Genomic DNA, 14,496 nt, shown 5'->3' with positions numbered 1-14,496 from the left:
GGGCTCTCAAAGTGACTTTGTTAAAATAAGCAATCAGGTCCCAAGCCTAGGCCCCAAAGCCAGAGTAGCAAAAAGAGATTTGGTGAGGTATCTGTAAAGGGCAGTTAGAGCTCAGATCTCTTTAAAAATTCATATTTACTGCATGTGCCCATTGTTATAAAAAAAGAAACTGAGAAATATGGATGCATACTTGGAAGGCAAACACTAAAATTAAAATTACATTAAGATAAGTGGTTCAGGAGAATAGGCAAGGCTTGTTTGTTTGTGAGGGGTTCCTTTTGGGTTTTGCTGTCAGTCCAGTGCAGAGATACAGGAAGGGCGAAGGAAAGAAAAAGCTAGAGCAGTGACAGAGAGAAGGAGATAAAAAGACAGATTTATGATCTGGGAGTCTAACCTCAAGGGCCACTCTGGGGTGTGCTTTGATTAATTGCCCAAGGCATGCTTGAAGGCAGAAACTTGAGAGAGCGGGCGCTGGGGAAGTGTCCTTGCGGGACCTCGGTGGGCATTAGCCTTGACTGGAAATGATGAGTGTGTCCCATGCAATTAGCTGTGGGAGAGCTCAGGGAATACCCTAGGGTTGTCAGACCTTGGCCTTTTCATTTTCAAGTTATCTGTGTAAACCTTTGAAGAAGCTCAAATTATTAAAATATTCCTTTTCTTTCTGCCTTCTTAGGTGCCCTTTCTGGTAACTGGAGGCCCAGATGTGCCCATCACGTTTTTTCTGAGGCTTTTGTACTTTAGTAAATGCTTCCACTAAACTGAAACCATGGTGAGAAAGTTTGACTTTGTTAAATATTTTGAAATGTAAATGAAAAGAACTACTGTATATTAAAAGTTGGTTTGAACCAACTTTCTAGCTGCTGTTGAAGAATATATTGTCAGAAACACAAGGCTTGATTTGGTTCCCAGGACAGTGAAACATAGTAATACCACGTAAATCAAGCCATTCATTTTGGGGAACAGAAGATCCATAACTTTAGAAATACGGGTTTTGACTTAACTCACAAGAGAACTCATCATAAGTACTTGCTGATGGAAGAATGACCTAGTTGCTCCTCTCAACATGGGTACAGCAAACTCAGCACAGCCAAGAAGCCTCAGGTCGTGGAGAACATGGATTAGGATCCTAGACTGTAAAGACACAGAAGATGCTGACCTCACCCCTGCCACCTATCCCAAGACCTCACTGGTCTGTGGACAGCAGCAGAAATGTTTGCAAGATAGGCCAAAATGAGTACAAAAGGTCTGTCTTCCATCAGACCCAGTGATGCTGCGACTCACACGCTTCAATTCAAGACCTGACCGCTAGTAGGGAGGTTTATTCAGATCGCTGGCAGCCTCGGCTGAGCAGATGCACAGAGGGGATCACTGTGCAGTGGGACCACCCTCACTGGCCTTCTGCAGCAGGGTTCTGGGATGTTTTCAGTGGTCAAAATACTCTGTTTAGAGCAAGGGCTCAGAAAACAGAAATACTGTCATGGAGGTGCTGAACACAGGGAAGGTCTGGTACATATTGGAAATTATGAGCAGAACAAATACTCAACTAAATGCACAAAGTATAAAGTGTAGCCATGTCTAGACACCATGTTGTATCAGAATAATTTTTGTGCCAATAAATGACATCAGAATTTTAAACATATGTATATGAGTGGCGTTTTAGTCATAATTTTGATCAGTTCAAAAAGGAAGCATTTACTCTCTTCAGCACTCAGCCTTCAGTAAACACTCTGTAGTAGGGATGACAGAGGACGTAAGGGTGTACGTGACATGGTCCCTTTCCTCAGACTGTTCCCAGGCCAGACAGGTGGAGACAGCATGCCACTGAAGTGAACAGAACTTACCCCGGCCAAGTGCTGAGAAGAGGCATGTATGGGCCACAGGTAGGAGCGTGTATTCCACCGGGTGAGCCTGGAAAGCCCCATAGAAAGGGGGACATTTGGCATGGGTCTTAAAGAGGGGTGGGAGTCTGTCAGATGAACCAAGGGGGGGGCATTCTCAGCAGAAAAGGAAGTGTGAGGCACTGCTGTAAAAGCAAGGTATCCATAGCAGTGGCAAGTATCAGTTGGACCATTTGAAATCACAGGTACGTGGACCATTTTTAATATACAAAACTGGCATTTTCTTATGGCTGCACCTCATAGTTCAGCATGTCTGGCTCAGTGGTCAGTGGGGAATAAAGGGAGTAACAGGAAAATAATAGGAACTAAAGGAGGCAGGAAAGCAGTACGGGGCCGGGGCCAGACCGGGGCCTCCCTCAGTTCAGCAGCAAGGAGTATGAACCTGATGCTGTGAAGTTTTAAAACGGAGTAGTATCTGAGTGGTGTTTTTTGTTTTTGTTTTTGTTGGAGACTGGGTCTCGCTCTGTCACCCAGGCTGAACTGCAGTGGCACAGTCATGGCTCACTGCAGCCTCGGCCCCCTGGGCTCAGGTGATCTTCCCGCCTCAGCCTCCCAATTAGCTGGGACTGCAGATGAGCACCCCCACCGCCAACTAATATTTGTATATTGGGGGAAATTCACCCCCGATATTTCACATAGGTTCTTTTCTATATTCCCTAAGTGTCAGCCGGTCTGAGAAAAGGGACAGAGTACAAAAGAGAAATTTTAAAGCTGGGTGTCCAGAGGAGACATCACATGTTGGCAGGTTCCATGATGCCCCCCTGAGCCATAAAACCAGCAAGTTTTTATTAGTGATTTTCAAAAGGGGAGGGAGTGTACGAATAGGGTGTGGGTCACAGAGATCACGTGCTTCACAAGGTAATAGAATATCACAAGGCAGTGGAGGCAGGGCAAGATCACAGGACCGGGGCAAAATTAATATTGCTAACGAAGTTTTGGGCACGCTTTGTCATTGATAACATCTTATCAGGAGACAGGGTTTGAGAGCAGACAACCAGTCTGACCAAAATTTATTAGGCGGGAATTTCCTCGTCCTAATAAGCCTGGGAGTGCTATGGGAGACTGGGGCTTATTTCATCCCTACAGCTTTCACCATAAAAGACGGCCGCCCCCGAAGCAGCCATTTCAGAGGCCTACCCTCAGGGATGCATTCTCTTTCTCAGGGATGTTCCTTGCTGAGAAAAATAATTTAGCGATATTTCTCCCATTTGCTTTTGAAAGAAGAGAAATATGGCTCTGTTGTGCCCAGCTCACCGGCGGTCAGAGTTTAAGGTTATCTCTCTCGTTCCCTGAACATTGCTGTTATTCTGTTCTTTTTTCAAGGTGCCCAGATTTCATATTGTTCAAACACACATGCTCTACAAACAATTTGTGCAGTTAATGCAATCATCACAGGGTCCTGAGGCAACATACATCCTCATCAGCTTATGAAGATGACGGGATTAAGAGATTAAAGTAAAGACAGGCATAGGAAATCACAAGGGTATTGATTGGGGAAGTGACAAGTGTCCATGAAATCTTCATAATTTATGTTCAGAGATTGCAGTAAAGACAGGCGTAAGAAATTATAAAAGTATTAATTTGGGGAACTAATAAATGTCCATGAAATCTTCACAATTTATGTTATTCTGTCATGGCTTCAGCCAGTCCCTCCATTCAGGGTTCCTGACTTCCCGCAACATTTTTTGTAGACAATGGGGTTTTGCCATCTTTCCCAGGCTGGTCTTGAACTCCTGGACTCAAGCAATCTGCCCCCCTCAGCCTCCCAGAGAAGCCACTGTGCCCAGCCCTGAGTGGTGTTTTTAAAAGGCAACTGGTGGCCAGGTGCAGTGGCTCACACCTGTAATCCCAGCACTTTGGGAGGCTGAGGCAGGTGGATCACCTGAGGTCAGGAGTTGGAGAGCAGCCTGGCCAACGTGGCCAAACCCCGTCTCTGCTAAAAATACAAAAGTTAGCCAGGTGTGGTGGCATACACCTGTAATCCCAGCTACTGGGGAGGCTGAGGCAGGAGAATTGCCTGAACCTGGGAGGCGGAGGTTGCAGTGAGACAAGATTGCACCACTATGCTCCAGCCTGGGCAACAGCAAGACTCCGTTTCAAAAAAAAAAAGGCCGGGCATGGTGGCAGGCGCCTGTAATCCCAGCTACTCAGGAGGCTAAGGCAGGAGAATCACTTGAACCGGGCAGCAAAGGTTGCAGTGAGCCGAGATCGCACCACTGCACTCCAGCCTGGGTGACAGAGCAAGACTGTTTCCAAAAAAAAAGGTGAATTTAAATCTCAATGGTGATACTAATAACAGTTCTAACACTCACAGCTAGAAAGTCACATACCTACTTGGATTTTCTGTTACAGTCCTAAACCATGTATCACCTATTTGCTCCAGAAAATATGGTCACCATAACTTTCCTGGCTCCAGATGAAATAACTCTCAGTGACTACAGTGATGTTACTATTCATGAACGATAAAGGTGTGAGAATGATAAAGGCAGGAAAATGGTGGCCATCAGTGATAAAGATATATTCTTTAGGATATAAGAGTCTGGATTAAGGTCTTTGGTGAATCCGATAGGTTTTAAGTTATATCTAAGCAAAGCCTTCTGGGTGTGTTGAGACAAATTATCAAAGGCAGAGGAGGAGCTAGTGGAGGCCTTTAAATACAGTTTAGTCCAGCCAGGCACGGCAGCTCATGCCCGTAACCCCAACACTTTGAGAAGCTAAGGTGAGAGGATTGCTTGAATCTAGGAGTTTGAGACCAGCCTGGGAAACATAGTGAGACCCTGCCTCTACAAAAAATAAAAAAATTCGTTGGGCATGGTGGCATGGGCCCAGTCTACCCTGGATGCTGAGGCCAGAGGATTGTTTGAGCCCAGGAGTTCAAGCTTACAGTAAGCTATGATTGTGCCACTGCACTCCAGCCTGGATGACAGAGACCCTATCTCTAAAAATAAATACATAAACAAGGATGAAGATCTTTATGATGATCCACTTAATGAATAGTAAATATATTTTCCTTAAAATTTTCGTAATTTATTGTAAGAATACAATACATACACACAATATGTGTCAGTTGACCGTTTGTTATCGGTAAGGCCTTTGGTCAACAGGAGGCTATTAGTTAAGTTTTGGGGGAGTTAAAAGCTATATGTGGATTTTCGACTGCTCAAAGGGATGGGAGCCCCTAATCACCAGATGTTGTTAACAGGTTAACTATTTTTTTCTTTTTTTTTTTTTTTTTTTTTTTTTTTTGGAGACAAGGTCTGGCACTATCACCCGGGCTGGGGGGCAGTGGTGCAATCTCAGCTTACTGCAACCTCCACCTCCCGGGCACGAGTTATCCTCCCACCTCAGCCTCCTGAGTAGCTGGGACTACAGGTGCATGCCATCACACTCGGCTAATTTTTGTATTTTCTGTAGAGACTGATTCTTGCCATGTTGTCCAGGCTGATCTCAAACTGGTGAGCTCAGGCCATCCTCCCACCTCAGCCTCCCAAAGTGCTAAGATTACATGTGTGAGCCACTGCGCCCAGCCAGTTGTATTTTTTAAGAATCAAGGCTGAGGCCGGGCATGGTGGCTTATGCCTATAATCCCAGCACTTTGGGAGGCCGAGGCGGGTGGATCACGAGGTCAGGAGTTTGAGACTAGCCTTGCCCACATGGTGAAACCCCATCTCTTACTTAAAAATGCAAAATTAGCTGGGCGTGGTGGTGCACGCCTGTAATCCCAGCTACTCAGGAGGCTGAGGCAGGAGAATCACTTGAACCCGGGAGGCAGAGGTTGCAGTGAGCCAAGATCATGCCATTGCACTCCAGCCTGGGCAATAGAGTGAGACTTCATCTCAAAAAAAAAAAAAAAAAAGAATCAAGGCTGTAGTGTCAACTTACTAAGTTTCAAATATCAACTGCATCTCATAGTACCTTTGTGACCTTGGATAAGTTACGTAGATTCTCTCTGCTTGTCTCCTCTGAAAGTGTGGGTAAGCCCTACCTTGTGAGGCTGTCTGAAAGACAAGATAATCCATGGAGGAGCATTTAGCACAGCCTGACTGACATGTGGTATTAGGTTGAACCACGTGAAATAGGTCCTCAAAAATACTAAATGAACTAGGCGTTTGTCCTGCCAGAGTACCTGTGTACCTGAAGCACACACACGGAAAAAGTGAAAAGCAAGTATTCTCTTAACTGGATATGCTGAACATTTATTGAAGACTTAATGGGTGGAATGAATTGTATTAAGGGCATCCCATCTCTAATTTCAGGAGAGTGAATCTATCTCTTGAGCTGCCTGATAATTCGGTGCCTCCCTCACAAGAGCTCTTCCAGGAGTTCACTTCACAAATGTGTACTGAGTTCCCACTCTGTGTTAACCAGAATGGTTCCAGCGATGTCTGCAGGAAACAACGTCTGCTTGGAGGAGTTCAGAGGGTACTGGAGGGAGGAAGCACAGTTGGAGCTAGACGCTTTCTTCAGGAGCTTACCTGTAAAGGGCAAGAGAGAGATGATGGCAGTTGGAAGGAGATGTGGGAGCCAGTGTTTTTTCCTTTTCTCTTTTAGTTGGGAAAGATGTCAGTGTACTTGTAGGCTGTTAGGAATGAACCAATAGAGAGGGAAAAGATAGATCCAGGGGGCAGGGGAGGTGTAATTAATTACAGGAGTCAAGACCAAATGGGTGAGGGGAACACAGAACCAGCCAGAGCTTGGGAGGAGGTGACTTTAAATATGAGGCTGGGCCGGGCACAGTGGTTCCTGCCTGTAATCCCAGTGAGGTGGGAGGACGGCTTCAGCCCAGGAGTTCGAGACCAGGTTGGTAAGATGCAGTCTAAAAAAAATAAGCCAGGCGCTGGTGGCGCACACCTGTAATCCCAGCACTTCGGGAGGCCAAAGCAGGTGGATCACTTGAGGTCAGGAGTTCAAGACCAGCCTGGCCAACATGGTGAAACCCCATCTCTACTAAAAATACAAAAAAAAAAAAAAAATTAGCCGGGCATTGTGGCACACGCCTGTAATCCCAGCTACTTGAACCTAGGAAGCGGAGGTTGCAGTGAGCTGAGATTGCACCACTGCACTCCAGCCTGGGCAGCAGAGTGAGACTCTGTCTCAAAAAAAAAAAATAAACAGGGCAGGCACGGTGGCTCCGCCTGTAATCCCAGCACTCTGGGAGGTCGAGGCGGGAGGATCACAAGGTGAGGAGTTCGAGACCAGCCTGGCCAATATGGTGAAACCCCGTTTCTACTAAAAATACGAAAAAAATTAGCCGAGCGTGGTGGTGCACGCCTGTAATCCCAGCTACTCGGGAGGCTGAGGCAAGAGAATTCGTTGAACCCGGGAGGCGGGAGGTTGCAGTGAGCCAAGATTGCGTCACTGCACTCCAGCCTGGGCAACAGAGTGAGACTCCATCTCAAAAAAAATAAAAATAAAAATAGGCTGCACGCTGATGACTCGTATCTGTAATCCCAGCACTTTGGGAGAGCAAGAGTGAAACTTTGTCCCAAAAACATGGTTTTTTTTGTTTGTTTGTGACAAGGTCTCACTCTGTTGCCCAGGCTGGAATGCAGTGGTTCGATCTCGGCTCACTGTAACCTCCACCTCCCGGGCTCAAGCCTCAGCCTCCCGAGTAGCTGGGATTACAGGCATGTGCCACCACGCCCGACTAATTTTTGTGTTTTTAGTATAGACAGAGTTTCACCATGTTGGCCAGGCTGGTCTCCAACTCCCGACCTCAGGTGATCCACCCGCCTCGGCCTCCTAAAGTGCTGGGATTACAGGTGTGAGTCACGGCGCCCAGCCTCAAAAACATAACCTTAAAAAGAAATTTTTGAGACAGGGTTTCATCCTGTCACCCCGGCTGGAGTGCAGTGGAGCCTCCACCTCCTCGGCTCAAGCAACCATCCCACCTCAGCCTCCCGAGCAGCTGGGACTACAGATGCGCACCACCACTCCCGGTAATCCCGGTTTGTTTGTTTTTTAAATTTTTAAATAAACACGAGGATAAGCGGGGATCGTGGCCCTCGCCTGGGGTCCCTGCTACTTCGCAGGCTAAGGTGGGAGGATCTCTTGAGCCCAAGAGTTCGAAACCAGATTGGGCAAACCTCGTGTCAAAAATATATGTGATAGTCAGGTCCTCCAGGCCGCACCCTAGATCACAGGGTTGTTGGGATGATACAATATGAGGTAAAAGAACGTGAAATTCACACCAGAGCGCTCGAAAGTGCCACCCTAATCGCAGGCTTCCCAACCTAATCGCAGGCTTCCCAACCTAATCGCAGGTGCCCCACCCTAAACGCAGGCTTCCCAACCTAATCGCAGGCGCCCCACCCCAATCGCAGGCTCCCCACACTATAATCAGACGCCCCGCCCGCCGCTTCGACCTGGCGCATGCGTGGTGCGCACGCGTCCCGTCTCCTCGGCCGACAAGCTCTCGCGAGACGAGCCGTGCAGGCTGAAAAAATGGCGCCACCCAGTACCCGGGAGCCCAGGGTCCTGTCGGCGACCAGCGCAACCAAATCCGACGGAGAGATGGTGCTGCCAGGCTTCCCGGACGCCGACAGCTTTGTGAAGGTGAGTTCGCGGGGCCTCGGGGGTACCAGGAGTCGCCCGCGGCCGCCGGAAGCCGACTGGGCCCTCTGGGCAGCCAATGCCCGCCCGCCGTAGTGGAGCCCGAGCGAGGGTCGCGGGGCCCCTGTCCGCGCTGGGCGCAGACTCTCCTGCACCCTCCGGGGATGGGGCCTCGGAAACGGACACTGAGGGGCGTCCCGCTTGCGAGCCTAAGTCCATGGAGGCCCAAATGTGGAAAGCCGTCTCGCATCCTGGGAAAGGCTTCCTTGCCACCCAGACGTCCCTAGCCCTTGCGACGTCGCGCTCGCCACGCCCTAGCCACCCGACCAGCTCTCCGCAGGGGCTCGGCTTCTTCGCGCTCCCCACACTTGCCTGGAGTTGTCTCCTCCCGCGGCCAGTATGGCCCTTCTCTTCCTCTGTTTCTGAAGTCCAGTCCTACATAATTTTTAACCCTGAGTTAAATGTCACCTGTTAAAGCCCCATTGCACGTTTATTAGTAACTCCTGGAAGGTATACAGGGCGTTCACTTAAGATCTTTGTATAACTTAGCTTAAATATGAGCAAACGTACAACTAGGCTTAAGGTGTGCATAGCTCTTACAAAGCAATGAAACTAAAATAATTTGTAAATTAACCCTATAAATTTACAGAAATTCCACTAACGTTGTATCTTATCTAATTTGCTGTTAGCTAATGCTATTGATTCATTAACATGGCTCTCAATAGTTCCTGGACCACTAACTGTGGTCCTGGTTGTGTGGCGGTCATGCTCATAAGCTACCATGTTCCCCTCCGTGACTTAATTTCCCACCTCCTTTCTCTGCTTTTTTCTTGGGAAATGTTTATTCACAAAACTCACAATGACGTTTTAGGCCTTCACATGATCAGCCATCATTTATGTCACTTCACGGCTTTTTTTCGTTACCTCACAACAGTTAAAATAGAGAACCACTTGACACTAACTGAACAATAAACACAAATCCAGTTTTAGATAGTAGCTGTTATAAATTTGTCGTCCAAGGATCTAGGATAAGCTTGTATTGTTTTTAGATGCTCATCCAGATGAAAACACAAAAACAAATTCCTGTAGAAAGCTCTTGGATCTGAACTTGAGTCGTAATAATAACGCTTATGTGCCAAGAACTGTCCTAAGTGCTTTTATTAGCTTATTCATTCTGTCCTCACAAAAACTCTGTGGTGCAGGCCCTTTTTATTTTTCCTGTTTCTCAGAGGAGAACACTAAAGTCCAAATAAAGCAATCACTTGTCCAAGATCTCAGTTAATACGTAGCAGAGTCAAGATTCAACCCCAGGTATTTGTGAATATTAATCAGATTATATACGTATGTATTCTGTCTCTCAACTCTCCCAAGAATATAAGCTCCAAACTTGGTTTCCTGTTCAGTATTGTATTCTCAGGGCCTAGATTAGATTGGGGTTTGGCACTAAATGAGTGCTTTTTTTGATGGATGAAGAGTAGATACCTTGTATACGATAGATCAAAAAAATGACATACCAAATGAATGGGGATCCCTGTGTAAACATGCCATCTTTTCTTGTTTTTGACAGTTTGCTCTTGGGTCCGTGGTGGCAGTCACCAAGGCATCTGGGGGCCTACCACAGTTTGGCGATGAGTATGATTTTTACCGAAGTTTTCCTGGCTTCCAAGCATTTTGCGAAACACAGGGAGACAGGTTGCTTCAGTGGTAAGTACTGTACTTTGTTTTCTTGTGTTAGTGAAAAGAAATGAAAACAAAGAAGTAGATAAATTTTTCCTGAAATTTATTTTTCCTTAAACATTTTCTGTGGTATGAAGAGCTATAAAATGTGAAAATTGAAGCAATGGATTTTGATTAGGGAAATATTACTTGGTATATTTTTAGTTTAGCCTTTAAAAAATGTATTGACTTTTGTACTGAAAAAATATATTGACTTTTGTACAAATCTTTTTTAATTAAATGGGACGTGAACACTTAGAGCCAAGATTCTTTTTTTTTTTTGAGACGGAGTCTCGCTCTATTGCCCAGGCTGGAGTGCGGTGGCATGATCTCGGCTCACTGCAAGCTCCGCCTCCCAGGTTCACGCTATTCTCCTGCCTCAGCCTCCTGAGTAGCTGGGACTACAGGTGCCCGTCAACACGCCCAGCTAATTTTTTGTATTTTTAGTAGAGACAGGGTTTCAACATGTTAGCCAGGATGGTCTCGATCTCCTGACCTCGTGATCCACCTGCCTCGGCCTCCCAAAGTGCTGGGATTACAGGCGTGAGCCACCGCGCCTTGCCAGATCCAAGATTCTTTCCCACAACTTGTAGAGTAGCAGGTATTTTTATTTTTATTTTTATTTTTTTTGAGATGGAGTCTCGCTCCATCACCCAGGCTGGAGTGCATTGGCTCAATCTCGGCTCACTGCAACCTGCGCCTCCCAGGTTCAAGCGATTCTCCTGCCTCAGCCTCCCGAGTAGCTGGGATTATAGGTGTACACCACCACGACCAGCTTTTTTTTTTTTGTTGGGGGGGAGTACGGAGTCTTGCTCTGTCGCCCAGGCTGAAGTGCAGTGGCGTGATCTCGGCTCGCAGCAACCTCCACCTCCCAAGATCAAGCGATTCTTGTGCCTCAGCCTCCCCAGTAGCTGGGATAACAGGCATGTACGACCATTCCCGGCTAATTTTTGTATTTTTAGTAGAGGAGGTTTCACCATGTTGGCCAGGCTGGTCTCGAACTCCTGACCTTGTGATCCACCCACCTCAGCCTCCCATAGTGTTGGGATTACAGGTATAAGCCACTGCGCCTAGCCAGTTTTTTGTATTTTTAGTAGAGATGGGGTTTCACCATGTTGGCCAGGCTGGTCTCGAAGTCGTGACCACTCCTGAAGTGCTAGGATTACAGGTGTGAGCCACTGCGCCCAGCTAGGGTGCAAGTTTTATTGGTTTCATCAAAAAGTATCAGGGGCCAGACATGGCGGCTCATGCCTGTAATCCTAGTGCTTTGGGAGGCAAAGGCAGAAGGATCGCTTGAGCCCAGGAGTTCAAGACCAGCCTGGGCAACGTAGGGAGACTCCATCCCTACAAAAAATTTTTAAAGTAGCTGGGAGTGGTGGTGCACCACTCCCAAGTCACAGCTACTTGGGAGGCTGAGGTGGGAGTATCACTTGAGCCCAGGAGTTCAAGGCTACAGGGAGCTGTGATTGTACTGCTGCATTCCAGCCTGGGTAACAGAGCAAGACCCTGTCTCTTTAAAAAAAAAAAAAAAAAAAAGAAAGAAAGAAAGAAAGAAAAAGGCTGGGCTCATGGCTCACACCTGTAATCCCAGAACTTTGGGAGGCCGAGGCAGGTGGATCACTTCAGGTCAAGAGTTCGAGACCAGCCTGGCCAACGTGGTGAAACGTCATCTTTACTAAAAATACAAAAATTAGCCAGACCTGGTGGCGTGTGCCCATAATCCCAGCTACTCAGGAGGCTGAGGCATGAGAATCGCTTGAATCCGGGAGTCGGAGGCAGGCAGATCACTTCGGGTCAGGAGTTCGAGAGCAGCCTGGCCAACATGGCAAAACCTCATCTTTACTAAAAATACAAAAATTAACCAGACCTGTTGGCATGTGCCTATAATCCCAGCTACTCAGGAGGCTGAGACACGAGAATCGCTTGAACCCGGGAGGTTGAGGTTGCAGAGAGCCAAGATCATGCCACTGAACTCCAGCCTGGGCAACAGAGCAAGACTGTCTCAAAAAAAAAAAAAAAGATGTGTTGGGAACAGTCTGAGCCACATCATTTGAACATTCTCTCTCACAGAATGTAAACAAGTGAAATAAAAATCTACAAGCTAACCTTGGTTTTCCTTTCCTTAGCATGAGCAGAGTAATGCAGTACCATGGGTGTCGCAGCAACATTAAGGATCGAAGTAAAGTGACTGAGCTGGAAGACAAGTTTGATTTACTAGTTGATGCCAATGATGTAATTCTGGAGAGAGTGGTGAGTATTTTCCCTTACTCTTTTTTTTGTTTTGTTTTGTTTTTGAGACGGAGTCTCGCTCTGTCGCCCAGGCTGGAGTGCAGTGATGCGATCTCGACTCACTGCAAGCTCTGCCTCCCGGGTTCACAACACTCTCCTGCCTCAGCCTCCCAAGTAGCTGGGACTACAGGCGCCCGCCACCACACCTGGCTAATTTTTTTGTATTTTTAGTAGAGACGGGGTTTCACCGTGTTAGCCAGGATGGTCTCGATCTCCTGACCTTGTGATCCGCCCGCCTCAGCCTCCCAGAATGCTGGGATTACAGGCGTGAGCCACCACACCCGGCCTTCCCTTACTCTTATGGTAACTAACAAAGAGCTTTGTATTATTAAAATATACGGATAGACAGAGCAACCCAGGCACCTTAGAAAATGAAAAGGAAATAAGCTTAACATTTCTTATAATAACATTCCCTTCTAATAGTTGGTATATTTTTTCTAAAAAATAATTACAGTTGTCTTAAAAATATTACTGCCCCATGGAAGCTTCTTTTTTTTTTTTTTTTTTGAGACGGAGTCTTGCTTGGTTGCCCAGGCTGGAGTGCAGTGGGGCGATGTTGGTTCACTGCAACCTCCACCTCCCAGGTTCAAGCGATTCTCCTACCTCAGCCTCCGGAGTAGCTGGGATTACAGGCACCCACCACTATTCCTGGCTAATTTTTGTATTTTTAGTAGAGACATCGTTTTGTCATATTAGCCAAGCTGGTCTCAAACTCCTGACTTCAAGTGATCTGCCTGTCTTGGCCTCCCAAAGTGCTGGGATTACAGGCGTGAGCCACCTCACTGAGCCTGAAAGCCTGTTTTTAAAGTGCCTTATTCCAGCCAGGTGTGGTGGCTCACACCTACAATCCCAGAACTTTGGGAGGCCAAGGCGGGTGATCACCTGAGGTCAGGAGTTCAAGACCAGTCTGGCCAACATGGTGAAACCCCGTCTCTACTAAAATATAAAAACTAGCCAGGCCATGGTGGCACACACCTGTCATTCCAGCTATTCAGGAGGCTGAGGCAGGAGAATCGCTTGAACCCGGGAGGCCAAGGTTGCAGTGAGCCGCGATCATGCCACTGCACTCCAGCCTGGATGACAGTGAGACTCTGTCTCAAAAAAAAAAAAAAAAAGGTGGCCTGGCATGGTGGTTCACGCCTATAATCCCAGCACTTTGGGAGGCCGAGGTGGGTGGATCCACCTACCTGAGGTCAGGGGTTCAGGAGCAGCCTGGCGGACATGGTAAAACACTGTCTCTACTAAAAATATAAAAAATTAGCTGAGTGTTGTGGTGGGCACTTGTAATCCCAGCTACTCAGGAGGCTGAGGCAGGAGAATCGCTTGAACTCGTGAGGCAGAGGTTGCAGTGAGCCAAGATTGCACCATTGCACTCCAGCCTGGGCATCAAGAGTGAGACGCCATCTCAAAAAAAAAAAAAAAAGTTAAAGTGCCTTATTCTGGCCAGGGTCAGTGGCTCACTCCTGTAATCCTAGCACTGTAGGAGGCCGAGGTAAGAGGATTGCTTGAGCTCAGGAGTTCCAGAACCAGCCTGGGCAACATAGTGAGACCTTGTCTTTATTTAAAATTAATAAATAAATAAAGTGCCTTATTCTGAATCTGTCTTCCAGATCTGCAAATTCTGTTTTTATTTTTTTGGATACTGAAGTCTTGCTCTGTCACCCAGGCTGGAGTGCAGTGGTGCAACCATAACTCACTGCAACCTTGAACTCCTGGGCTCAAGCGATCCTCCCACCACAGCCTCCCAAGTAGCTGGGACTGCAGGTGTGCACCACCACGTCTGGCTGAATTTTTTTTTATTTTATAGAGACAATGTCTTGCTGTGTTGCCCAGGCTGGTCTTGAACTCCTCAAACAATCCTGGCCTCAAACAATCCCCCCCCACCTCAGCCTCCTTAGTCACTAGGATTATAGGCATGAGCCACTGTGCCTGACAAGATTTGCAAATTCTATTTGTGTTGCAAAAGAAGAGGCATTTATATCACCCAACCAAAATTTAGTTTATTTGTACCGTTACTCAAAATCTACTGAACCCCCTCCAG

General features: G+C 47.0%; 2 protein-coding genes and 1 long non-coding RNA gene across 11 annotated transcripts in view, besides 4 other annotated features; 2 read left to right on the top strand and 1 right to left on the bottom strand.

The window, feature by feature from the left end:
- MTOR (mechanistic target of rapamycin kinase) overlaps positions 1 to 1,639 on the top strand; it is a 156,017-nt gene extending 154,378 nt beyond the window's left edge. For all 5 annotated transcript variants that reach the window (NM_001386501.1, NM_004958.4, NM_001386500.1 and 2 more), the window contains one exon: positions 674 to 1,639. In NM_001386501.1, the coding sequence (NP_001373430.1) occupies positions 674 to 689 (16 nt within the window). In that variant the 3' untranslated portion in view covers positions 690 to 1,639. The remainder of the gene's footprint in view (positions 1 to 673) is intronic.
- Positions 6,069 to 8,499, bottom strand: EXOSC10-AS1 (EXOSC10 antisense RNA 1). 3 transcript variants are annotated; one of them, NR_135061.1, is made up of 2 exons: positions 8,264 to 8,499; positions 6,069 to 6,373 (listed from the first exon to the last, which is right to left on the bottom strand). It is a non-coding gene; the product is annotated as an EXOSC10 antisense RNA 1 (long non-coding RNA). The 3 variants fall into 3 exon arrangements; NR_135062.1 differs by having other exon boundaries at positions 8,360 to 8,499; NR_135063.1 differs by lacking the exon at positions 8,264 to 8,499 and adding an exon at positions 8,090 to 8,155.
- Positions 8,016 to 8,576: an enhancer, noted in NCBI's record as "NANOG-H3K27ac-H3K4me1 hESC enhancer chr1:11159655-11160215 (GRCh37/hg19 assembly coordinates)". NCBI's record gives its function as "activates a minimal SCP1, AML or CMV promoter by ChIP-STARR-seq in primed H9 embryonic stem cells {active_cell/tissue: H9 hESC(primed)}" and the evidence as "EXISTENCE:reporter gene assay evidence [ECO:0000049][PMID:30033119]".
- Positions 8,305 to 14,496, top strand: part of EXOSC10 (exosome component 10) — a 33,252-nt gene continuing 27,060 nt past the window's right edge. For all 3 annotated transcript variants that reach the window (NM_002685.4, NM_001001998.3, XM_005263475.3), the window contains exons 1-3: positions 8,305 to 8,453; positions 10,018 to 10,154; positions 12,293 to 12,416. In NM_002685.4, coding sequence (NP_002676.1) covers positions 8,343 to 8,453; positions 10,018 to 10,154; positions 12,293 to 12,416 — 372 coding nt within the window. In that variant the 5' untranslated portion in view covers positions 8,305 to 8,342. The remainder of the gene's footprint in view (positions 8,454 to 10,017; positions 10,155 to 12,292; positions 12,417 to 14,496) is intronic.
- Positions 8,577 to 9,139: an enhancer, noted in NCBI's record as "NANOG-H3K27ac-H3K4me1 hESC enhancer chr1:11159092-11159654 (GRCh37/hg19 assembly coordinates)". NCBI's record gives its function as "activates a minimal SCP1, AML or CMV promoter by ChIP-STARR-seq in naive H9 embryonic stem cells {active_cell/tissue: H9 hESC(naive)}" and the evidence as "EXISTENCE:reporter gene assay evidence [ECO:0000049][PMID:30033119]".
- Positions 8,763 to 8,964: a silencer, noted in NCBI's record as "fragment chr1:11159267-11159468 (GRCh37/hg19 assembly coordinates)". NCBI's record gives its function as "represses an EF-1alpha promoter that drives an FKBP-Casp9 reporter gene in an ReSE screen in phorbol 12-myristate 13-acetate-treated (for megakaryocytic differentiation) K562 erythroleukemia cells {active_cell/tissue: K562(+PMA)}" and the evidence as "EXISTENCE:reporter gene assay evidence [ECO:0000049][PMID:32094911]".
- Positions 8,866 to 8,925: an enhancer, noted in NCBI's record as "active region_164". NCBI's record gives its function as "activates an Ori minimal core promoter by ATAC-STARR-seq in GM12878 lymphoblastoid cells {active_cell/tissue: GM12878}" and the evidence as "EXISTENCE:reporter gene assay evidence [ECO:0000049][PMID:35858748]".

This window comes from Homo sapiens, chromosome 1 (genome assembly GCF_000001405.40).
Source record: "Homo sapiens chromosome 1, GRCh38.p14 Primary Assembly".
Taxonomy (NCBI): Eukaryota; Metazoa; Chordata; class Mammalia; order Primates; family Hominidae; genus Homo; species Homo sapiens.
This window is presented reverse-complemented; position numbering and strand designations above follow the sequence as displayed.